At 39.5% G+C, this 22,838-nt stretch overlaps 1 protein-coding gene and 1 long non-coding RNA gene across 7 annotated transcripts in view; both read right to left on the bottom strand.

Moving 5' to 3' along the window:
• Window positions 1-505: 505 nt before the first annotated feature.
• LOC124902737 (uncharacterized) lies at window positions 506-4,848 on the bottom strand. The gene is made up of 3 exons (XR_007062861.1): window positions 4,809-4,848; window positions 2,583-2,795; window positions 506-2,162 (listed from the first exon to the last, which is right to left on the bottom strand). It is a non-coding gene; the product is annotated as an uncharacterized LOC124902737 (long non-coding RNA).
• Window positions 17,344-22,838, bottom strand: part of TRPC6 (transient receptor potential cation channel subfamily C member 6) — a 132,444-nt gene continuing 126,949 nt past the window's right edge. For 5 of the 6 annotated variants that reach the window (XM_047427509.1, NM_001439335.1, NM_004621.6 and 2 more), the window contains 3 exons: window positions 20,798-20,881; window positions 19,430-19,505; window positions 17,344-18,886 (listed from right to left, as the gene is read on the bottom strand). In XM_047427509.1, the coding sequence (XP_047283465.1) occupies window positions 18,735-18,886; window positions 19,430-19,505; window positions 20,798-20,881 (312 nt within the window). In that variant the 3' untranslated portion in view covers window positions 17,344-18,734. Of the gene's footprint in view, window positions 18,887-19,429; window positions 19,506-20,797; window positions 20,886-22,838 lie in introns of those variants that run through there. The other variant, XM_047427510.1, reaches the window with a different exon arrangement.

Here is a 22,838-nt window from a genome sequence, read left to right on the forward strand (position 1 = left end):
GTCCATAAAGGGAGGAGTGATGGAAGGTGTGGTTAAGAAGGGATAAGGGGAAATGAGGACAGAATTAATGAGCATGTTAGGAACAAGAAGATGTCGGGAAACTCTGTGTATTTGACTTTCTGAAGTTCACAGTTTCAACACATGCGTTTGGCTTGGTTTAACTACATGGAGCTTTGATAATGCTCTTTTCCTAAGGGAAACACTGACACTTCAGGCTTGCAGAGACAAGCACAGTCTAGCTCAAGCTTGTCCAACCCACAGCCCACTGGCCACATGTGGCCCAGGATGCCTTTGCAGCCCAATGCAAATTTGTAAACTTTCTTAAAACATGAGATTTTTTTTTGCAATTTTTTTAGCTCATCAGCTACTGTTAGTGTTAGTGTATTCTGTGTGGAGCCCAAGACATTTCTTCTTCCAATGTGGCCCAGGGAAGCCAGAAGTTGGACACTCCTGCTCCAGCTGAATGCTTTTTGCAGGATCTTTTTTTTTTAAATGTCCAAAGGAAATAAAATAAAAAGCCCAGAATATTTTGTAAGACAAAAAATATATTACTGTAGTTGGAAGCCATGACCTAGGAAGGGGTGGGGGTCATGAGCAGGGCACCGGCTAGGGATCTGGTCACAGTAGCAAAGGTCTATCACTTGGCATGGGAGGTTTGGATAGGCAGAGAAGAAAGTCTCTCTATAAGGATGAGGTAGTCTTTTTACCCTTCAACACTTTTTAAATCACCTTACAGGAGGGAAGAATTTGAATTATGCATTGGAAAGTTGCATTCTTTAATATGGTCTCCTCATTTCTATGAATTGAGATGTTTTCTATGATTCTCCTTATTCTGTAGCAATAGAGGAAATCACTCCCTTATCTGTACTGCATCTTTGTAGCATTTGTGCATAGATCTGTTATCACAATTACCACCCTATTTGATTACTTATCTATCTTCTGTATTAAATGATTCTTGGAAGGACAGGGAGCATGCCACATTCTTCTCACTTGCTCGGTGCCCAGCATGGTGCCAAGTATTTAACAAGAACTAAAATAATGTTTTTGGACTTAATTGAAGGTGGCCACAGTGGGAGTGGGGAGAGATATGAAAGGTATAAAATCTACCTTGTTTTCAGAATCAGAAGGAAATTAAGGACGAGTTATTGGAATCATTAAGCTTCATTTTCCACCTGCAGCCACAAATCTGTTAACTACAGTTAAATTTGCACAGACATGCAAACATTAACCACATACCCTTCCTCCATTATAGCTCAGGCTGAAAACCAAGGCTCTATCATAGTTCACAGCCTGACCAAGCCAATCTGAGTTTGTACCAGCCACCAGCTGCTCCTCGTCCTTGTCAGACAGAAAAATAGATACATGACCTATAGCTGTCACAAATTACAGTGCTCATGCTACCCAGAATAGTACAAGCTGTTCTTTCTTTTCTCAACAGTCAATCAACCTAGATGTAGAAAACCCATTAGGGCATCTTTGCTGTGCTTTCCCCTGCCTCCTTCATCCTCTCATTGCATCCCCGCATGAAGAGCTCTAGGCTGAACTATTTCTTTTGCTAAGTTAATTAAGGCAGGGGACAGCCACTGCTGCTGGTGGGAGGCAGTTACACACATGAGCAGACTTTATCATTAATGTCTTCCCCTTAAACTGTTTCATACTCAATTTTCCTGGCTCAGTTTCATTTATTACTCATAATTAGAGCCAGCTCCTACTTACTCAATTCAGCAGGTACTTTTGAAGCGTTTATGGTGAGAGTAAGGCTGTGTCTGTAACCACTGGCAAGCAAAAGACACATGTAAACATCTTCTTTGCTTGATTTTCAGCATGCTCACTCCTGACACATACAAGCAGGGCAGCTCAAAACCGTGGCAGGATGGGTAGCTGGGGAATGTGCACATCACTTTGTTGCTGTTGGGGGTATTTAAGCAGGGGCTGCACTCGCACATTCAACCACTGTTTATTAAGTGCTTCCTGTGGACAGAAGTCCTTGTGTTGTCCACTGTTTAATAGGTCCAGCAAGGTGGCTGGATGAGAATTTAGGATGATGGTGGTGGTGGTGGTGGTTTGGGGACGGGGTTAGAAATCACTCTATGGCAGTTTAAACTCTGATTCTTCTGGTAGGGCTGGGCAAAGCTGCTTCTTCACAGACTAATCCTCTCTTCCTAAAAAAGAAAATTAAAGTTATTCAAAGCCAGACAGCAGGGACTATTGTGTGTCCTCCCAGGTCTCATTTAGTCATTGAAAAAACATTTTCTAGTGAGTTCAAAAAAATTACTTAAAGCCGGTTTCAAAGATACTAAGTTACCTGTATCCATAAAGCTCAGCTCCCTGTTTGCTTATAGGAAAATTTTTTTACTGATCTAAATTTTGTGGAAAGAAGATGCAGGAGCATTATGACCTGAGAAGTTTGGGACCTCTCGCCTGGACCTTTTCCTTTAGGCAAGAAAGGTGAGCCCCTTGGGCTTGCATGATTACATCTACAGGAAGGGACAATGGCACCCTCTGCTGGCTTACCTAGGTCAAGATGCTTTTTGCTTCTATCCTTCATTGGCAAATTGAAAGACAAATTGTTCTTTACCTACCTTCACTGCTGATAGACAGGAGCAACTTGACCTGACTTTGAAAATTACTTCAACACTCTTCCTCTTGAGAGAGCCTCTTCTTTTGCAATTACTCTACATGCTTGCATACATAAAGTACTGGCCTTGGTCTTAAAAGCGCTGGGTTTAGAATCCTGGTCTTCAGCAAGAACAATGATTGCTACTTCTCTTCTCTAAGATGCAAGATGGGGACTACTGTGAAAATTAAATTAGCAAATGTGTTAAGATAGAACATGACGTGCACCCAGAGAAAAATAAGATATATTAAAGAAGCATTGTTTAAGCATTCATCTACTTTTTTTTCACTATGAAGTACAATTTTAATAGTCAGATGGGATCCATATATATGAAAAAAGGGGTACAGTGATTATTATCAAATCTTTTTGTCTTCTCCACAAGGTACTGAGTCAAATGCTCTGCAAGGAAAAATAAAGAAATGCTATACATTTATCAGAACCTTCTGTATCCATCTTTGATCAGTTGCAGTGCTTATGCTCCAAGGTTTTCTTGCTAAAGAGCTAGTGTTTGTTTTAACCTATGTGATGAGGAAATATAAGAGAATTCAGAATAAACCAGCAACAAAACCGAGAGTCTCACCAGAACAGACCACTCTTTGTATGCTAGCTTTATGTTTTTGTGTCTTTGTAACCAAAAAAAAAAAAAAAAAATCAGTCTTTTTGTGTGTGTGAACTCTGGACATGGCAGTGCAAAATGGGCTCTCTCTCCATGACCTGAGCTTCTGTAGCCCTCTGCCCGTCGCAGCTCCTCTGAGTGACTGGCTTTCCTAGTGAGCTGTGATAGTGTGTGGAGTGAGTTGTTTTTCTTCTCAGAGTGGGAAATAAGTCCTTCCATTTTTGCAATGCTATAACATACGGATGCAACACCATTAAATGTGTGTAAATCATCCTCCATCCACAAACGTCAAACACAGTCAGGCGAATTAAGGCATTTTAACTCCAATACCTACTTCTTGCACTTTACTGTTATTTCCAAAAAGTTCTTACTTAAATCTTGATTCTACCACATATTAGCTATCTAACTTTGAGCCAGTTATTTGATCTGACTGAACTTGAATGTTGTCATCTCTGATAGAACAATATCTACACATAGGGTTGTCATATTCAATGAGATGAAGTAGATTGAAGACCTAGCACAGAATCTGCCATTTATGTCTGTTTAATAGATGACAGTTGTCATTGATTAATATTACTAAATCTTCTACAAGAATTAGGACTTTTACATAGTAAAAATTAAAAATAATGTTATTTATTAAAAATCTATTTTTAGATATATTTATGTTATATTTGAATATATTTATTTGCAAAACTCAAATATTGCAGCATCTCACTCACTGCTGGGGGAGATGACATGAAGGAATGACTTGTGTATGGCCCATGTGCAAGTCAAGGCCATAATTGCATTGGCTCTATGAATGGTCTTCAGGGCCCCATCTCCAATGCCATAGTTATGAGCAGGGTTATTAGAGGCTACCAGTTACTCATAAAACCAGTCTGTGTCACAGTGCTCCAGGCCTCCTGGCAGGCTGCTCCAGAGCTGGAGCACAAGCTGCTCCCTGCTGGCTGCTCCTTGCCTTGGAGACGGCCAACTGGCTAGCTATATGCATAAGCCTGAAACTGGACCCCTTCCTTACACCATACATGAAAATCAATTCAAGATGCATTAAAGACTTAAATGTAAAACCCAAAACTATAAAAAACCCAGGAAGACAACCTAGGCAATACCATTCTGGGTGTAGGCATGGGCAAAGATTTCATGATGAACATGCCAAAAGCAATTGCAACGAAAGCAAAAATTGATAAATGGGATCTAATTAAGCTAAAGAACTTCAGCACAGCAAAATAAACTATCAACAGAGTAAACAGACAACCTACAGAATGGGAGAAAACTTTTGCAAACTGTGCATCTGACAAAGGTCTAATATCCAGCATTTATAAGGAACTTAAGTTTACAAGAAAAAAACAACCCCACTAAAACGTGGGCAAAGGACATAAACAGGAACCCTCTCAAAGGAAGACATGCATGTGGCCAACAAACATATGAAAAAAAGCTCAATGTTACTGATTAGTAGGGAAATGCAAATCAAAACCACAATGAGATGCCATCTCACACCAGTCAGAATGGCTAATTATTAAAAAGTCAAAAAAATAACAGATGCTGGTGAGGTTGTGGAGAAAAAGGAACACTTACCTTCTGTTGGTGGGAGTATAAATTAGTTCGACCATTGTGGAAGACAATGTGGCCATTTATAAAAGACCTAAAGACAGAAAAACCATTTGACCCTGCAATCCCATTATTGGATATATACCCAAAGGAATATAAATTTTTCTGTTATAAAGACACATGCACACATATGTTCATTGCAGCTGTATTCACAATAGCAAAGACATAGAATCAACCCAAATGCCAGTCAATGATAGACTGGATAAAGAAAATGTGGTACATATACACCATGGAATACTATGCAGCCATAAAAAAGAAAGAGAATGTCTTTTGCAGGGACATAGATGGAGCTGGAAGCCATTATCCTTAGCAACTAATGCAGAAAACAACACACCAAATACCGCATGTTCTCACTTATAAGTGGGAGCTAAGTGATGGAACACAGGGACATATAGAGGGGAGCCGATTTGAGGGTGGAGGGTGGGAGGAGGGAGAGGGTCAGTAAAAATAATTAATGGATACTAGGCTTAATACCTGGGTGATGAAATAATCCATACAACAACCTCCATGACCCAACTTTACCTATGTAACAAACCAACACATGTACCCTTGAACTTAATAAAAGTTAAAAAAAAAAATTTCACGCATCACCCCTTCTCCACCACAGAGTAGTGCTAGAGAGTGAAGTGGGCACTATGGCTTAAACTGGCTGTGGCCTGATTCAGTCACAAACCACAGTTGGTTTGCGCTGAAACGCCGGCTCAGGTTAGTCAATTTCAAAAAGAAAAATGAAGAGATTTTAGAAACTCCTTTTTGAAATCAGTGTTCATTTGGGCCTATAATTTCCTGAGGCAAGCCCTATGCTAATTTTATTGCCGTTTCTTTACATAAATAGGTGGGAGGATGAAGGAGTGGAAGCTTCCAGGGAAACACCAGGTAGCCTGGTACACTGTCAACACTGGCTTCTAATAGGTATTTAGAAAACCCTGAGGTTAGCATCAGTTTTTCTAGGCGCAAAAGAGCCCACGTGAAGGAAATTATGGGGAAAGAGTGGGAGAAAGGAGGAGGCGAGAGATTCAGCTACAAGCTAGCAGGAAGGAGGAAGGCTTGTGGGGAGGGTAGGCTGGTGTTGGAGATAGTGTCAACTGGATAGTGTGTTCCAGTTCAGCTCCGGCCATTTGTCAGAGTGAAAGTCTGCACGGCATGTCACAATGTGGGTTTTGACCCGACCCAGCCGGTTCTGATGCTCCCAATATCACAAGAAACTGCCGTTCAGGAGATGATGGCAAAGTGAGATGAAGAAAGGAAGGTCTTAGCTCTAGAAGTGAGGGTAGGAACAGGCCCCGCAGACAGCCAGCCAGAGAACAATGCTGCTTTCGCTGTCTTCAAAATCCTGCTCGGTCTTCCTTTTCCACTCAGCGTAAAAGCCACAGTCTCCCTGTGGCTCTCATGGCCGTCCATGCTCTGGCCCTTCTTGTGGCCTCTCTGACCTCATCTCCTCCTGCTGTCCCCCTCCTTCCCTCCAACGCCCCTCTCCTCCTCGCTGTTCCACAACCCCCACCAAGACATGCCCATGCATCCGAGTCTTTGTACTCAGGTTCACCCAGCCTAGAATGTTCTTCCTACGTATCTGCTTGTTCCCTCCTCTAGCTCCTTTAGATCTTTTATCGGGTGGCCTTTCCTGACCACCCGATTTAAAACCGCAACTCCTTTACCTCTAATTATTTTGCTTATAGTCTGTCTTTGCCTTCCTGAATACAAATTCCATGGGGAGGCAGAGGTTTTCCCTGTTGTCTTCATCACTCAGAACAGCTGCTGCACATGTTAGGCACTCAGAGCGTATTTGTTTTTCAACAAATGAATCTTGGACTTGCAATTCTCAGTACCACATCTCTGATGGGGCACACATGCTCCAGGAAGTCTTCAGTCCTGAGCACATGGGGCTCTCACAGAAGTATCAAGGAAGGGGCTCCAGTCCATTGGGGACTAGGAATGCTTCAGGAGTGTTTAAGATTCAGCAATAGACCCCTGGCAGTTTACGGGATCGTAACCCAGCCGACTTTGAGGAATAGGCATAAGACTAGGGCACCAATGACTAAGCCCCTACCATCAAGACCATGGAAGTGTCAGAAAATAAAGCCCAGTTGAAGCCGTGTCCCCACCAGGGACAGCAGCCACATATAGAAGAAAAGACCAGTGTGAAGTTTGGAGGCAAAATTTAGCACCTAGATTAACCAAGAGTTATAGACAAGAACAGGTGTGTTTGTCTTGTCGTGGCTTTGGGCCAGAGCTCCCTATTTCCCACTCTGCTATCCATCTGCCCCCCATTTCCCCAAGACTGGTCTGCTATCTGCCTGCCCCCCATCTCCCCAAGACTGGTCTGTTCATGTCTCAGCTTTGTCTTTAATAGCCCAGATGCATAACCGAAGGCTTGTCCTGGGATTATTTTACAGCACAAATCTCATCTCAAAATTGAGTTGGGCCTCTAGGGCAGACCTGATGCAGATGTATAAGGCAAGGTATTAGCCCAGTTCCTGACAGGGATGCTCAATTTTAAGACCCTCAAAGAAAAAGCACTTCATATACATTTTCTTGTTTAACCATCACTCAATCTCATCAAATAGGTTATTCTTAAACAGCTGAGGACAGTGGGTCTCAGAAAGGCTCAACATTTGCCCAAGTTCATCTGGGAGGTGATAAGTGGCAGCTGGTAGGTTTTGCTCCAGCTATGACTCTGGAGCTGTGTCCATTTCCTTGAACCACTTTGCCACATGACATCAGCAGCAGTGGCAGGGGGTGGGTGCTTCCCGCCTACTTCTTCAGAGGCCTTGTCACCAGCCTGCCTGAACTGTGTCAGTGTGACCTCTCAATCTGGAATACTGTGTATTTTGGCCAGCAGTCAGCTGTACAGGAAACAAAGAGAACCCAAGTCAAGCCAGGTTGGTGTGTTCTTTCTGGCAGTCTGTAAGGAGATCCCTGTGCCAGCCAGCCAGAGATAGCTCCCCTATCACTGGAGATCATGTCCCACACTAAGTCTCAAAGCTGACTAAGCCTGGAGAAGGCTACTGAGACATCTATGTCACAACATTCAGCCAGAAAGTCTTGAAATGGTCCCTTGGGAGTTTTTCTCTACCTAAGGCCTATTCCACCTTTTCTCTTCCAGGCTGTGGCTACCAGCCCCTCTGGGGTTGCAAGTCGCACCAAACAAAGGATTCATTCAACAAATGTATTCATTCAGTAAATATTTTTGAGTACCCAATATGCGCTAGAATGCCTGAAAGTGACTGTGAACTAATTCCTTGGGTTATGAATCTCTAAAGTTTGTGCAGGGTCATTTTTTTGTGGCAGTAGGAATGTGAGTACTGTGAACAAGGCCAGCTAAGGGAAAATTAGTCATTCATGCTGCTGGCTGCCTATTCTCGAGGCTGCCCTTGGCCCTTACATTTCCCATAGCTATCGAATACATTCCTGCTGCCCCTCAGGCCAAGGATACTGCTATGGTATTCTCAGTTACAACACAGCCTAACAAAATGACCCCATATTCTGGATATTTTCTTAGACCCTCATTGAAAGTTATTGATTCTGGGTCTCATTCTTTAGAGGTCCTGATAAATTCTGTCAGGTTAATATTAATAACTGTTTCATGTATAACCCTCATTAAAATTTCATTTCAAAGAAGCATATTATAACTTCACTTAAAGGAAGGACAACTAGTGGGCAATTTGAAGGGCCTAGCTGCCTCATAAGATGGGGAGGTGGGCCTGGGATATCTCTGTAACCAAATGATGTAATTTAGTTTAATGGAGTCAGCAGCCACCTATAAAAGCAGCCATGTCCCCAGCGGACAAAGATGTCACCTGGTTTAACCCCATGTAACCCAAAAATTCCTTGATTTCAAGAGGATACAATGCATTTCCTCTACAGACTCAAAAAAAAAAAAAAAAAAAAAAAAAAAAAACCATACAATTTCTCAAAATCTCAAAGTTCCAAAAGAAAATTCCAAAATTACAAAGTACCAAAAAATTTGCCACCAAACAACGTTTTAGAATTCTGATGCAATCTGTGACTACAAGGAATACTGTTCCTGGTGCTGTGCATTGGGTGTGGAGTGGATGCTGTTAGCATTCCTCCAAGATCCCTTTTCAGTGTGTCCGTCCATGAAGACTGTGTGGTTTTGCTTCTAAATACCTGCACCTGCTGCTTTCTCTGGAAGCCTACACTTGGGCTACCGGAGCCTTTGCTGAAAGTGCCTGAGAGTATACGTCCTCCTGAGGCAGCCCTTAGCCAATGACTGGTAGAAAATGGAAAATGAAAGTCCAGCTCAGAGAATTCCTGTGCAGGATCTGTTTGAAGTTACCCTTAGCAGGATTTTGCCTGAATTGCACAATTGCTTGGTTTTCTCCTTCCTTGTCCTGCCTTCCCTACCACTTTCAGTTTTTTCTTGGGAGCGTTTCTTCGTGAATTGATTGCACGTGAATCTTGTTCTAGGGTCTCCTTCTGACATCGTTGTCCCAAGGAATGGAAGTAACAATGCTTCAGTCTCAGTGCAGGCTTCCCCAAAATGTATGCTACTTCCAAACAGAAGCATCTTTGACCTGAAATTCCAGCCCACCCACCCCCTTCCAAATACATACCTAGATGCTTCTCCTGGGGGCTTTCACAGCATTTAATAGGCTGTATGTCTGGCTCAGAACTCTTTGAGAGCATAAACTGTTTTAGTTATTATTTGAATTTTAAGTGAAATGATTTGTGATCCCAAAATTATTTGTGAAATGACTGTGAACCAGTCTCAATCAATTTAGAAAGTTTATTTTACTAAGGTTGAGGACATGCCCATGACACAGTCTCAGGAGGTCCTGACCACATGTGCCCAAGGTGGTTATGTTACAGCAGGTAGTCACACAGACATGAGCAGGGCAGGTGAAGGTCCCCCTCAACCAGGAATGTCAGGCAACCATCAGGTGCTGGGCAGTTATTAAACTGTCTCTAAAATAATTGGTTGCAGCCAGCACCAGGGAAAGGCAGTCTTCCTATAAACAGAAACACCTGAAACTGGTAATCAGCAGCTTCCTGACAAGATCTCAGGAGTTGGGGGAATGGGCTCAAGCATGCACATTAAGAGGCAAAAACATACGGAATTTAACTGGTGTCTCACCTTCTAGGGACATTTGACTGGTAAGGGAAGAACGCCTCAAGTGAGCATGCATACACCTCCAGTAAACACACTGCACATGTGTTCCCTCCCAAGTGCTAGCAGGCTGCTGTGCATGTGGACAGCCCACCCCAAGGGAAGAATCAGGGCAGAAATAACACAAGATCCTGTAAGCATGCCAATGAGTCGGAAGGCGGAATTGTGCCCTTGATCTCTCAAGTCGCCCACTTGGCCCTCTTCCAAGTAAGTGTACTTTACTTCCTTTCATTTCTGTGCTAAAGCTTTTTGATAAGCTTTCACTCCTGCTCTAAAACTTGCCTTGGTCTCTCACTCTGCTTTATGTCCCCTTGGTCGAATTCTTTCTTCTGAAGTAGCAAGAATTGAGGTTACTGCAGATTCCTAAGGATTCACCACCGCTAACAGTCAGGACACAGCTTGGTTTTGCCAATTTTAGGGACACATGAGACATCAATCAATACATGTAAGATGTATATTGGTTCTGTTCGGAAAGGCAGGACAACTCGAATCAGGAGCTTCCAGGTCATCCGTAGATGTAAACATTTTTCTGATTGACAGTTGGTTATTATCAATAGAAAGGAATGTCTGGGTTATAAGAGGTTGTGGAAACCAAGGTTTTATGTAGATGAAGCCTCCAGGTAGCAGGCTTCAGAGAGAATCGATTGTGAATATTTCTTATCAGATTTAAAGAGTCTGTTCTACCAGTAATTCCAAAAGAGAGGAGGGTAATAAAGCGTGTCTAGCTCCTCCTTCCCATCCTGGTCTTAATGAGTTTTTCAGGATAACTTTGGAATATCCTTGGCTGAGAGGAGGGGCCCATTCAGATGGCTGGGTGGAGCTTAGAATTTATTTTTGGTTTACAGATTGAATAAATCACATGTTGCTGGGCAGCCACAAAGTCCCAGGAGCCCTTCCAAGCATGGAGATGCATAAAAGTCATTGGATGAAAATGGCATTAGATACTTCTCTTGCAAAACACAAGTCAAGACACATGGAGTACTGCATTATTTTGATTTTCTGATAATGCATTTCTTATGGATATTTTTGCAATTCTCATGAAATACTGGAAAATACTAGAAGGCTAACAGGCCTGGTGCCTGCTTCAAGAGGAAGGAATTGGGAATGATTTAGATTATCTCACTGGATGCAGTCAGGAGCAGATAGGTTACAATTAATGTCTAGAGTATAACACTAAGAATAAATGAATTGCTGGAAAAGTTATGTCCTCATAATGTCAGCCTCAGGCCAGACTTCTTATTGGAAAAAGTTTATTTTAAAAAATAACTGCTGATCCTGTGACATATTAAATGCCTTTTACCAACCACAATATTGGAGGACTTCTGGCTTGTCCTAATTGATAGCAATTCAAAGGCTATAAGGGGCCATAACTGTTCCTCACACAGGTTTTCTTTATAAACCCTCCCTGGGCTCTTAAATCATTAGTGAGATGTCATTGGTTTAGGAGAGAGACACCTACCCTAAGTTCAAACCTAAATGTTTTGGGGATTTGCAAGAAAAAGTAATTAGGTCTCAGAGTGGACAGCATCAGGCAGAAGTGATCAAACTGAGACAGGCTCTTTGTGTCCTGCTTCTTAGTGAGGCTAAATGTCAAAAGAACTAATGACACAAGCTATGGGTTAATTATATCCTATTAGTAGGTCATGAAAGACAACTGGATCATGGCTCTGAAGCAGCCTGATAGGCTAGACCTGTAAATGGAATAGCAGAAAAAGCTGGCATGTGATTCATTTATTGTTTACTTCTACTTCAGCCAAAAGATGGCTTTCTTATTAAACAAAAGTATGAGTGAATGAGTCAAAAGTCATCACCCTGCAAAAGGGAGATGCAAATCACTCAGGAGCCACCCAATGACTGGACAATGTCAAGGTTTTCTTACATAGATTTGGTATGCCCTCTAAAAAATGAGATGAAGCCACAAGCTGTGGCAGGTAAATTAACCCAAAACAAATTAGTCCAGGTTTCATTCTCAAGGGCTGTATAGCTATCTAGGATGAATAAATTAAGATGGGCCTCATGGAAGTAGCTTGTATTAATTAGGTCTTTTGCTTATAAATAGACTACTTGTATTCTGTTTCTAGTACTGCTACTGGCAATAGCACCCAGAGCACTGCAATGAATTTCATAGGTTTCAAATAAAAGTTTTGTGAGCTGGACCTAATATGGGAGTTGCCCTAAGCCATCTTATGAATGATACTGTTATAAAATGATACAAATATCATGCTCACAAGTAATAAAAATGCTTTGAATTTTTCCCACATATTGCTCAAATGTGACTCATCTTTTTCAAAAATGGCAAATATGTGGCATGAGGGCCAACTTCCCATGTCCATGGCAAGCATTATTCAATGTCTCTATGTCATTCTTTCCTACCAATTCTGACTGGGCCTCAGAATCCTTCCTAGCACAATGCCCTAGACGTAATGTACCAAGTGATCAGAGAAACATGAGTTAGAACCTAAATTTCAATAGATTTGTGAGGTTTAAGTGAGAGTTGTTTAAGACGGAGTGGAAAAAGAAATTTTGGAGCCACATGCTTTCTCTATGATTGCTAGTATTAACTGAATGCTTATCATCAGCCTAAAATGTATTAACTCATTTAATCCTCACAAAAACTCAATGTAGGAGATATTAGTGTTTTGTTTTTCACCTGTAGAATTGGGATAATGAGGTCCAAAGAGGTTAAGAAACTTGGTGAAGAGTATACAGCTATTGTCAGAGCTGGGATTACCCAATACTTCTGGCTGCAGATGCTATACTCTGAACCATTGGGATGAAAAGAATTCAAAGAGATAAATAATACAGAGAGACTAGAAAGGGAGTAAAATCATTGAAATGAAGAAAAAAATGTAAAAGGATATGTGGGAAAAGAAAAAGATCCATATTTATAATTTTTGATAGAATTATAGATAGCTGTGTTTTGAAAAATGTCTTTGAGCATATATACAATTACATATATATGTGTTCTTTAGCTATTGATTGTATATCATGGCAGACTCTCTCTTTATATATATGTGTGTGTGTGTGTGTGTATGTATACATTTTTCTCAATGTTAACAAACAGTAGCAACAACAGGATATGTTAACATTTTCCAGAATATAAGAAGACACTTTACAATTTGACCTTTTCCAATCATTCTGGTGAAAGTCCATTTTCTGAAGAAGAGTGAAGGGTAAATGTCACACAGCTGAATCACAGACTACTAAAAAGGTTAAAGCAAACGCAGAGCATTGCCACAGTTCTTTTAGCCTGAGACATGATAATAAGTAAACTTACTTTATTTTGAAAAAATTCTTCCTATGGTGGTATAACAGTATCTTTTCATAGACAATAATTAGGACAAAAATGCAGGGACGTGAAATTCCAGACTCACTTCCTGAATGTCAGCATCAAGGTTTTCTTTTATTATTTAGGAAAAAAAAGTGTGCTTTCTATGCATTTGCCAGAAGATATAGCTCTCTGTCAACTTTTGATACACTACTCCATCAGTTTATCACTGTGCAATGATGAAAGCCTTGTGACTTCCAGGGTGGACATTAGAAAAAGAAGAAAGGTTAAAAATTCATTTGATTCTCTACAAACCAGTTGTTATGATCTGAATACTCGTGTCCTCTCCGAGTTTACATGTGGAAATCCTAACCGCCAATGTGAGGGCATTTGAAGATGGGGCCTTTGGGAGGTGATTATGTCATGGGGCCAGAGCTCTCATGAATGGGATTAGTGCCCTTATGAAAGAGGCCCTAGAGGCCTCACTTGCCCCTTCCTTCATGGGAGACACAGAAAGTGGACACTATCAAAAACCAGAAAGTGGGCCCTCACCAGACACTGAATCTGCCAGCACCTTGATCTTGTATTTCTCAGCCTGCAGAAGAGTGAGAAATAAATTTCTGCTGTTTATAAGCTATCCAATACGGTATTTTATTTTAGCAGTGCAAATAGACTAGAATACCAATCTTTCTCCTGTTTTTTCTTCAGCGTTCCAGGTAACATTATACTTAGTTAGGAAGTGTTACAGTCGTTATGAATATATGATCTCCTTAGTAGATATAATTACCTTTACCATTGAATAAGGTGCCTTTTGATATGTAATTTTCATGAGATTTTGAAAAATATGAGCCACTATTTCTATGATCCACTTATATTGGATAAATTGATTATCCATCAAATGGCACTAATATTAAAAACAAAAAAAAGAAACGATCATACAGTTGGTCAGTGTCTCTAGCTATTTACACAGCTATACAAAAATCTCTAATTTAAAATGAAATATTTTTGATAGGTCTTATCATTAAATCCATCCCAGGAAAGTGTTTTTGAAAAGTGCTTCTGGAAACTTTTATAGCTGTAGTTATGAATACAGAGTAAGGAAGAAAATTCAAGCAATCATTCTAAGATTCATGAAAAGAAAAATGAATTTACTTTAATTACCCGGTCTTGTAGAGAGTCTCTGCTGTGTCGCTCACCTCAGCTAGCCACATATGGAAGTAAAGACTTGGACTAGCAGTCCATGTTTTGTATAACAACAGATAACAGCTGAAGTTTCAGTTTCCATCCATTTTAGGGTTCTGGGCTGCACTCCTGCACAACCTTGGATTAACTTGGAAACATGCGCTGTCTACATCAAAGGGTAGAGACTCTGAAGTGTAGGAATTCATATTCAGCACCATTCACCAGAGCTGCCAAGATGACTGGCATGACGCTCACAAACCTTGCTTGGCACACAGTGATGAAGGAGGGTTTCGGAGCCAAGAGGGAGATGATATTTATGTGTTCAAATCAGAACTGATGTGGGGCATGCTTAGAACGTGCCACCTGGAGAAACATCATCTGTGTCTGGGGCTCTTCCTTGGTCTGAAGCTGGTAATCGATCCTGACAGTGATTTCGTTAGGGGACTGGCTGGCAGGCAAATACTGACATATAGTCTCTCCATTTTAATTGAAAATTCAGTTTGTTTTCACTCTTCACATGACAATAAAATTCTTTCATACTGAAACAGTCCTGGAAGGGTGGGATAGACTGTCCAATTAAAGTGAAACCATTTGCTCCTGAGTCAATCCATTCTCCTCACTGACTCAACAGCCATTGAATTTACTATTTGCTCTCCAAAGAACTCCCTAAGTGTCCCACACTCATGGCCAGCTCTTGGTTTTGCTCATACTGTCCCTGCCAAGAAATATACATCTCAATCTTTTATTCTTTTTTATAACTATCACAGGGTTCAGGACATGCTACTTGAAAATATGGCACCCCAGCATATTGAATATTTTGAGCTGAAGGAATTCAAGAAACAGCAGAAGCAGGAAGGTTATTCTCACCTTCCCTTCACCCTTCTCTCCTGAAGCAGGTGAGAAATTCTTTCCCTAGAAAGAATTTTCTGATCTTCCACTGAAGCAGGTCATGAGACCCTCATTCCAGAAGTGTCCTTCCTATACATGGAGGACAGGAACCTCCTTATCTCTGAAGACATGGGGTCACAGAGAGAACACACACACACACACACACACACACACACACACACACACACACAGGCTTCACATCTCTTAAAGCCCCAGGCCTTATTGGCTTATTGACTGTAAATAGATTTCTGTACACTATATTTAATCACATCAGTGTTTTTTCAGATTCTCAACTTTACTCAGACCCTTAAAGGGAATGTTAGAGATAGACCATGAGTGATTAAAAGAATAAAAGACTCTTGTTACAGAACCAGATAGTAAGAGAAGAATCTGAATAGGCCTTGCTAAGTTCCCACCACTTCAGTACCATTACATAATACCCCCTTGTTCAATTCCACTCTTTGTCAAACTTAACATAAAAATACATAAGTTTAAGTGTTTGAGTCTTTCTGAAGGCTCACGTGTTACATAAAACACAGTAAATAAATTTGTAAACTTTTCTTTTGTTAACCTGTCTTTGGTTATAGAGGCCTCAGCCATGAACGTAGGATGAGTGAGAAAGAGATACTTCTCCTCCCCAATATCTACAATCCTTTTGAAACCAAATCCTCTCTTAACCCATAGCCTTCTTTGCCTAATGCTTATTTTTCCCTAGACTGGACATATAATGGGAGCTAGGGTGTTCAGGTACCACATATTCTTCCTCACCTAGAAACTTAAATATAAGCTACGCAATGAGACGACCACACTTCCATATGCCTCATCAAGACCTACAATAACTGTGAGGCAGGCATAGTGTTCATTTCTGGCTTTGACACTCCATGTGTAAGTCACCTAGCCTCTAACTCCTTCAGTTGTCTCCTTTCCAAAGTGAGAATAATGATAGAATTTACCTCACACAGTCATTGTAAGCATTAAGTTAGATTAAATTTGATAATTCATAGAAAATATTCAACATTTCTCATACTTGTATTAAGGCCCATTACCCCATTTGGTTGCAAGTACCTTGAGTTCAAACACTCATTTTCTTCTCCTTTCAATCCCTGGTAGTTTTAAGCAGACAGCAGATTCTGGTAATTTCTTTGATATGCCTCATAAAATCATATTGAGTTTGTGCTATTTCTCAGTTTCAAGTAATAAGAGCAGCAGAGAGGAAACCCAGGCATTGATGGACAAAAACAGGGACTTTTTTCTGTTCCTTGGTGGTCGATCTGTGGTGAGATGGTGAAGAGTGGGCAGGGCTCAGCCCTCAGGGAGCAGCTGTGTGGTCACAGTGAAAAGCAGCGCTGCTTCATCCTACTCACGGGTGCATGAACCTCCAGAAAGCATCCACTCAGAGGGGAGAAATAGGACAGGAGAGCAACTGGGATAAAAACGTTTCAACTTATCATCTTAGTTTCAAAGATGAAGCCGACTGCGACGTGAAGGTAGGATTTAAAGCCAGTGGTCTTGAGACTTTTCCCATGCTTATGACCATCTTTTGGCGATGTGCCTGTAATGAAGCTCTTATCAGAATTTTAAAAGCTTTCTTAAAATGCGTTTAATTTCCTTTTTCATCTTCCAACTTAGAAGAAATGCCAATTATTCTAAGTTGGAAGATGAAATTCGAAGAGATGTCAATTCAGTTGCACTTTGATGAAAATCTGACTTCAGGACATTAGTTTGAACCATAAGAGCCACCAGGAGGGTAGTGCCTTTTGCTGAGGAACCCACAGTCATGCCTGTTGAGTTTCCCAAAACTTATATCTTGTCAAGTCAATCCAACTTAAAAGACACTGAGGAATCTGAATATCTTTTCTTGAGTCTTCTGGAGTCAAGACCATGTGCTGTCATAGAGCATCCTTGGGATGAAGGTCCATCTCTCGCATGGCACAACACACACTTTTTTGTGGATGTTAGATTATTTTAATTTGCTGATAGTGCATTCAGTATGAGGTTGATTTTTTACAACTGCTGATTCAAATACTGTCACAAAATATTTGAAAATCGATCTTTATGTATCACCAAGTAACTTTTCCATAAGTAGTATCCACAAATACAAAATCACTGAATATAAATTTTCAGCTGTATTTTCTGATCTGGTTACATAAATGTTCTTTGATTTAAATTAAGCCAAAGTTGGAGCTAAACAGATTTTCTGCAACCATTTCATCTTTAAGATGAAGTTAAAGATTTGCATTTGAAATCTCCCATTATTGAATTGGAAGTAGCAGTTCCAGTTAATGTCCAGCATCCTCTGAATGCCAATGGTCTTTGAGTAAACATATGAACCTTCATCGCTTTTAGTTGTTTAAGACACCACTTCACATGATCAGTAAGTAACAACAACAACCTCTTGGTAAATGCACATGAATGCAAATTCCTGTTTTATATATTTGGGTAGAAGGATAGAACATATTGAAAATAACAGATAAGTATTTACAAATTCTCACCTTATTTTTCCCCTTTACATTCAATGGCTAAGTGTGGGGATTCATCTGTAAATGCTCCCAGAAATGGCACAAAATTGTGCTATAATGGAACCAAACAACCACAGTGTTTGTTTGGGGTTTTGATTTTTCTCCAATAAAAGGTACTTATTTAGACAGTAAAATTTTTTAGTGACAATAAAAATTTATAACATAAAGAGCTTTTGTGTGTCCACATTAGCCACAAACTAGGGCAAGTACTTTATGTCTGTGTGTACACATTTACACACACGCACACACACAAAACTGGACCATGTTTCCAGGGTTCAGTGGAGGAAAAACTTTTTTCATTGTTAAGTGTAATGTTTTCAAATAGATGAATCAGAAAATTTTACATAGATGTAAGACCATTTTGTATGAACGGTATCAATCATGTGCATTGAGGGATAAGTAGGGTAAATGGTGTTTAAACAGCATTCTAAAGAAAGGATTAAAGCATTCTAAAGGCCCATGGGCTACTTTTTCCCAAATTTCAGAGCTGGGAGTCCCCAGCAGGGGATCCACAGAGCAGGCAAGAAGGAACCTGAAATAAACTTCAGAGGAAAAACCGCATGGGGAGTAACGTGGGTCAGCCCCTGTCCGCTGGGACCCATTTTCAGGCAGACACTACATGGCAATGACATCATCACAAGAGTTAGTTATATCCAAGAAAGCAGTTTATAAAACAAGCACCAAACAACTGGGCATAATTTTCCTCATTATCTACAGCCTTTACCCTGAACAATGGAGTTTAATCACCAAAAAAATTAGATACTAGGGCTCCAGATGATAGGATGGCCCAAGTTATTTAACGTTTTCTTGTTTAAAAGGTGGGCCCATTGGCACTTAAGAAAATAAATCAGAAAATAATATGGCTTCAAGTGGACAAATAAATATGAATTTCTAAGGAAGTCTTCGCATTATCTATTGGTTTCCTCTTGATTTGGTTCCATGGATAATTTCTCTCCAAGTTCTCTAATAAGTTCTGCTAGGTCTTCTGTATTCTGAGATTTTTCTTCAAGGAGTTCATAGCGGAGACTTGAGATGTCCTGCTTAATTTCCTTCAGTTCCCCTTTGAAAGCAAGAGTGATAAGAAGTCAACTATAAATACGCAATGCGGAAAAACTAGTGACTGTGGGACAGGAGGAAATCAGCTCTAATTTCACACACAATTTTATTTTGAATCCTTTGAAAGGAAATAACTTCCTAATTGAGCAGGTTTTTGTTTTCTTAGCTAAGTGTTTTTGTGAATGAAGAGATTATAGCAGAATGATAACAAAAGCCCTCCTAAAGTAAGTTAAAACAAAAAGGTGGTGAATGATTCAGGGGTTGAGGCAGCAGCCCCTTCCTTGCCTTTCCCACCCACTTCCTCCTCCCTCCAAGTCCACCATAAGAATGAGAGCTTTTTATCTAGCAAGTGGCACCTGTCCCCGCCTGTGGAGACATAGCCTGTTCCCCACTCTTTAACAGAACGGCGGTTGGTGAGATCCTGTTCTACTTTTCCCCTTGAAGTTCACTCTCCCTGTACGCATCTCTGCAGCTCTCCAGGCACTCTGCGCTAGGCCCCCGTCCTGACTCACATTCAGGGGCTGATTTGCTTCTGCGTTCAACTCACCTTCGTTCACTTCATCACTCTCCTTATCTATCTGGGCCTGCAGTACATATCTTTTAATGAGCCTTTTCATTATTTTCTAGAAAACAGAGAAAGGAGAAATCTATGTCAGTTTCAGGTTCATGACAAATCTCTCATTTGGAACAAGTTTCAGAGTCTTCCTCCCTGTAGTGAGCCCTTTGGAAGTGATGGCTGTCAAGGACTAAGATGATTCAGCCAGGATGCAGGCGATCTCTACATTTTGCTTTCCTTTTTAAAGCAGTTTTCACATCACCTAGGCTAATGACTCAAAAGTGAGTTCTTAGAAAAGAATGTTTAGAGCAAGTATGAAATCCTTTATGTCCATTGCTTGTATTTTATTTGAAAAGTATTAGAGTAAGACAGTCTTTCAGTGGGGTAGGTAAAAGATGTACACTACTGCTCGTGGAAATGGGAAATTAAGCTAATGTCTGCTCATTTAAGCCCCACGTCTGACCCACCAAAAAATGGAACCAATTTTTATTTTAAACTTTCTATTAATTTAGGAATGCTAGTTTCAATGTAATATATTTTTCAAGTACCTGGGCTTCTATCATGCAAACATTGCTTTTATTATATATTTTTCATAAAAAGAAGGAGTCTTAGTGGGTGCTCAGAAAGTCTTGATGGATATAGAACTAAATAAAATTTTACACCTAAGCCAAGGTTAAATGGTAGATAGTAAAACTCTACCTTCAAGAATCTATTCTAAAGATATGATTTAGTACATTAACAAGTATGTTCATAGAACTAGTTATATAATAGACAAAAATGAAACTTTAAATGTTCATCAGTAAGGAATTATTTTTAGTAAATTATATATTTGTATGAAGGAATATGATACATTCACTGAAATTAATAGGAATATATATTTTGTGGAGAGAAAATCACAAGCTAAAAACTATTACTCATTATATAAGTATTAGCTGATTTATATAGTATTATATATGCATTTTATAATAATATTAAAATATATGTAAAATTATGCACATATAGGCATATAATCATCTGGCAGAATTTTCACCAAAAGCAAGCAGACTTTGTTTCTCACTGGTGGAATCTGACATGAATTTTACTGTCGTCTTTATGTTTTTTGTAAGGTTTGCCTTTTCAATGAACACTCTCTTTTTTAATGGAGACTTTCAGATCTGTGATTCCAATACTTTATTTTTTTTAACTTATATATCTCTGTCACTTACAAAATGCCTGGTACATGGTAATTAATAAATATTTATTGAATTAATGCATTATTTGATATTGAGAAAAATATCCTGATACTTTAAAGAATCACATAGTTCAAGAACCTAAATATTACAAGTAACTAGTTTTATTCCTTTAAAAATCCATGCTTACCTGATATTGTCTTGGAGGATTATTGAAACTATTTAGATGGAAATCTTCTGAGCTCCTTATACTTGGTTGTTTATTGTGCCCAACCTGTAATTTGAAAAGATTTAGAAATGGATTCCTACTTACATTTTCTTTTAAATAAAGTAGTGAGATTAGTTATCTAATGAACTAATAGTCTTACATACACAAATTATCTATATGTATAGTGCCATTTATCTTGCTTAGTATTCTGTCTTCCAAGACAAATCAGTGACATTTTAGGTGTGTTCAGTTTGTTAATGGCTGTTTGTTAGAGGTTGTCTGAGGAGTCTCTTAGACTTTGTGGCTGCCAATCACGTTGTCATGAGAATCACGCGTTAACCTTCTCACAGATGAATGCATGGTAGAGAAAGAGTCAAACAAATTGAGGAAATAATGGTGGTGATCTCAGAAGTCCATTGATGGGGGATCAACAGTGCCACCTGATTAACTAAGACATCCACACCTGAAGCAGGGTCTGATGTGGATCCTGCAGAAACACCAGGGTAAGACTGTGGTGGAGCAGAATTCAGTTTCAAAAAAAGCTCTAATTAATGTTTGAATTTTAGGTACTGTATACTATCCCATTTGGGCAGCACTTTTCAAATTAAAATACATTAACCCAAATAGGCAAATAACAAAAAATTAAAGCAATCTGCAATAAAGCATACCTTATTAACATGCTAAGAGGATGATTTAAAACCTCTTTAATGCATTTTCTGAATTAAAATCCTTGCATTCACTTCAGTGCTTTGCTTTGATACTTTAAATAGCCACATACTGAATTAAAACAGCTACTCAGACATTCATCTATATATTCAAGTATATATTGAGGGTCCTCAAAATGTAAGGTGCTGTGCTAGGCTCTGTGTATAAATGAACATAAGCAATTATGGTATAGCTGAGTTATGGTAACAGCTCAATTATGAAAAATATGGCAAGATTGATAAGATTAATAATAAACAATATATAAATTTGAAAATAGCATCATTTTTCATGTATCTATTATTTCCTTTTTCTTTTACTCACTCTAAAAATTTTAGTGTCCATATAATTTTACTTATACTGAATTTTAAAACCACTCTGATAAATTACATAATTCATCAAATTAACCAAAGAGAGGCAGTTTAGGTTCCCAAAACGAGCACTTGAAGGGAACCTCAAGGATAAATACCATCTGGCTTTGCCACAAGCTAGCCATGGAACAGAGGCAAGATGCTTCAACTTTCTATAACCTTGTCTGACAATGAAGGAAGTGGTCTACCTAGTTTCTATCATTCAAGCCCCACTAATTTATGAATTTGTGAAATGCATAAAAACTTCCACATAACATCTTAAATAATATAATGGGAACCCTGGCTTTGAAACTATGATTTATGCCTTAAGAACATCATAAAAGGTGAAGACCAGTGTGAAGCTCCCACTAAGCCCATTATGATAAAGCATGCAGGTAAGGGCAGGCTCATAACCATCATGTCTCTGATTTATTTACCATCTATTCATTAACTCACCATTGACATTTTGGGCTAGATAATTCTTTGGTGTAGGTGGTCTCCTGTGCATTATGGAATGCTTAGCAGCACCCCTGGCCTCTAATCTACAGACTAGATGCCAGTCACAGCTCCCACCACCCCCTATTGTGCCAACCAAACATATCTGTAGGTATTATCAAAGGCACCAGATTAGGAGTGGAGGGCACAATCACCCCTGGGTGAGAATCACTGGTATAGTTAAATGGCATAAAACTAAATATAAACTCACATGAAGCATTTTTATGGGTCTAGTTTTTTTCTAAGTATTAAATACCAAGTTTTGGATGCATATATAACATATTTTATTTTCAGAAAAAAATTCTAGTCAGTTTCTAATACATCATAGAAATTCAGTAAATATTTCATAAAAAACTTAATGATACAGAGAAGAGTAAACCTATCCAATGGTGCAAGGAAGTATTATTACCACTTGGTGGCAGAAAATCCTAATATATAATTGTTTCCATGTACAATTATTTAATGTCTGGAAATCC

Source organism: Homo sapiens, chromosome 11 (assembly GCF_000001405.40).
Source record: "Homo sapiens chromosome 11, GRCh38.p14 Primary Assembly".
NCBI classification, from domain to species: Eukaryota; Metazoa; Chordata; class Mammalia; order Primates; family Hominidae; genus Homo; species Homo sapiens.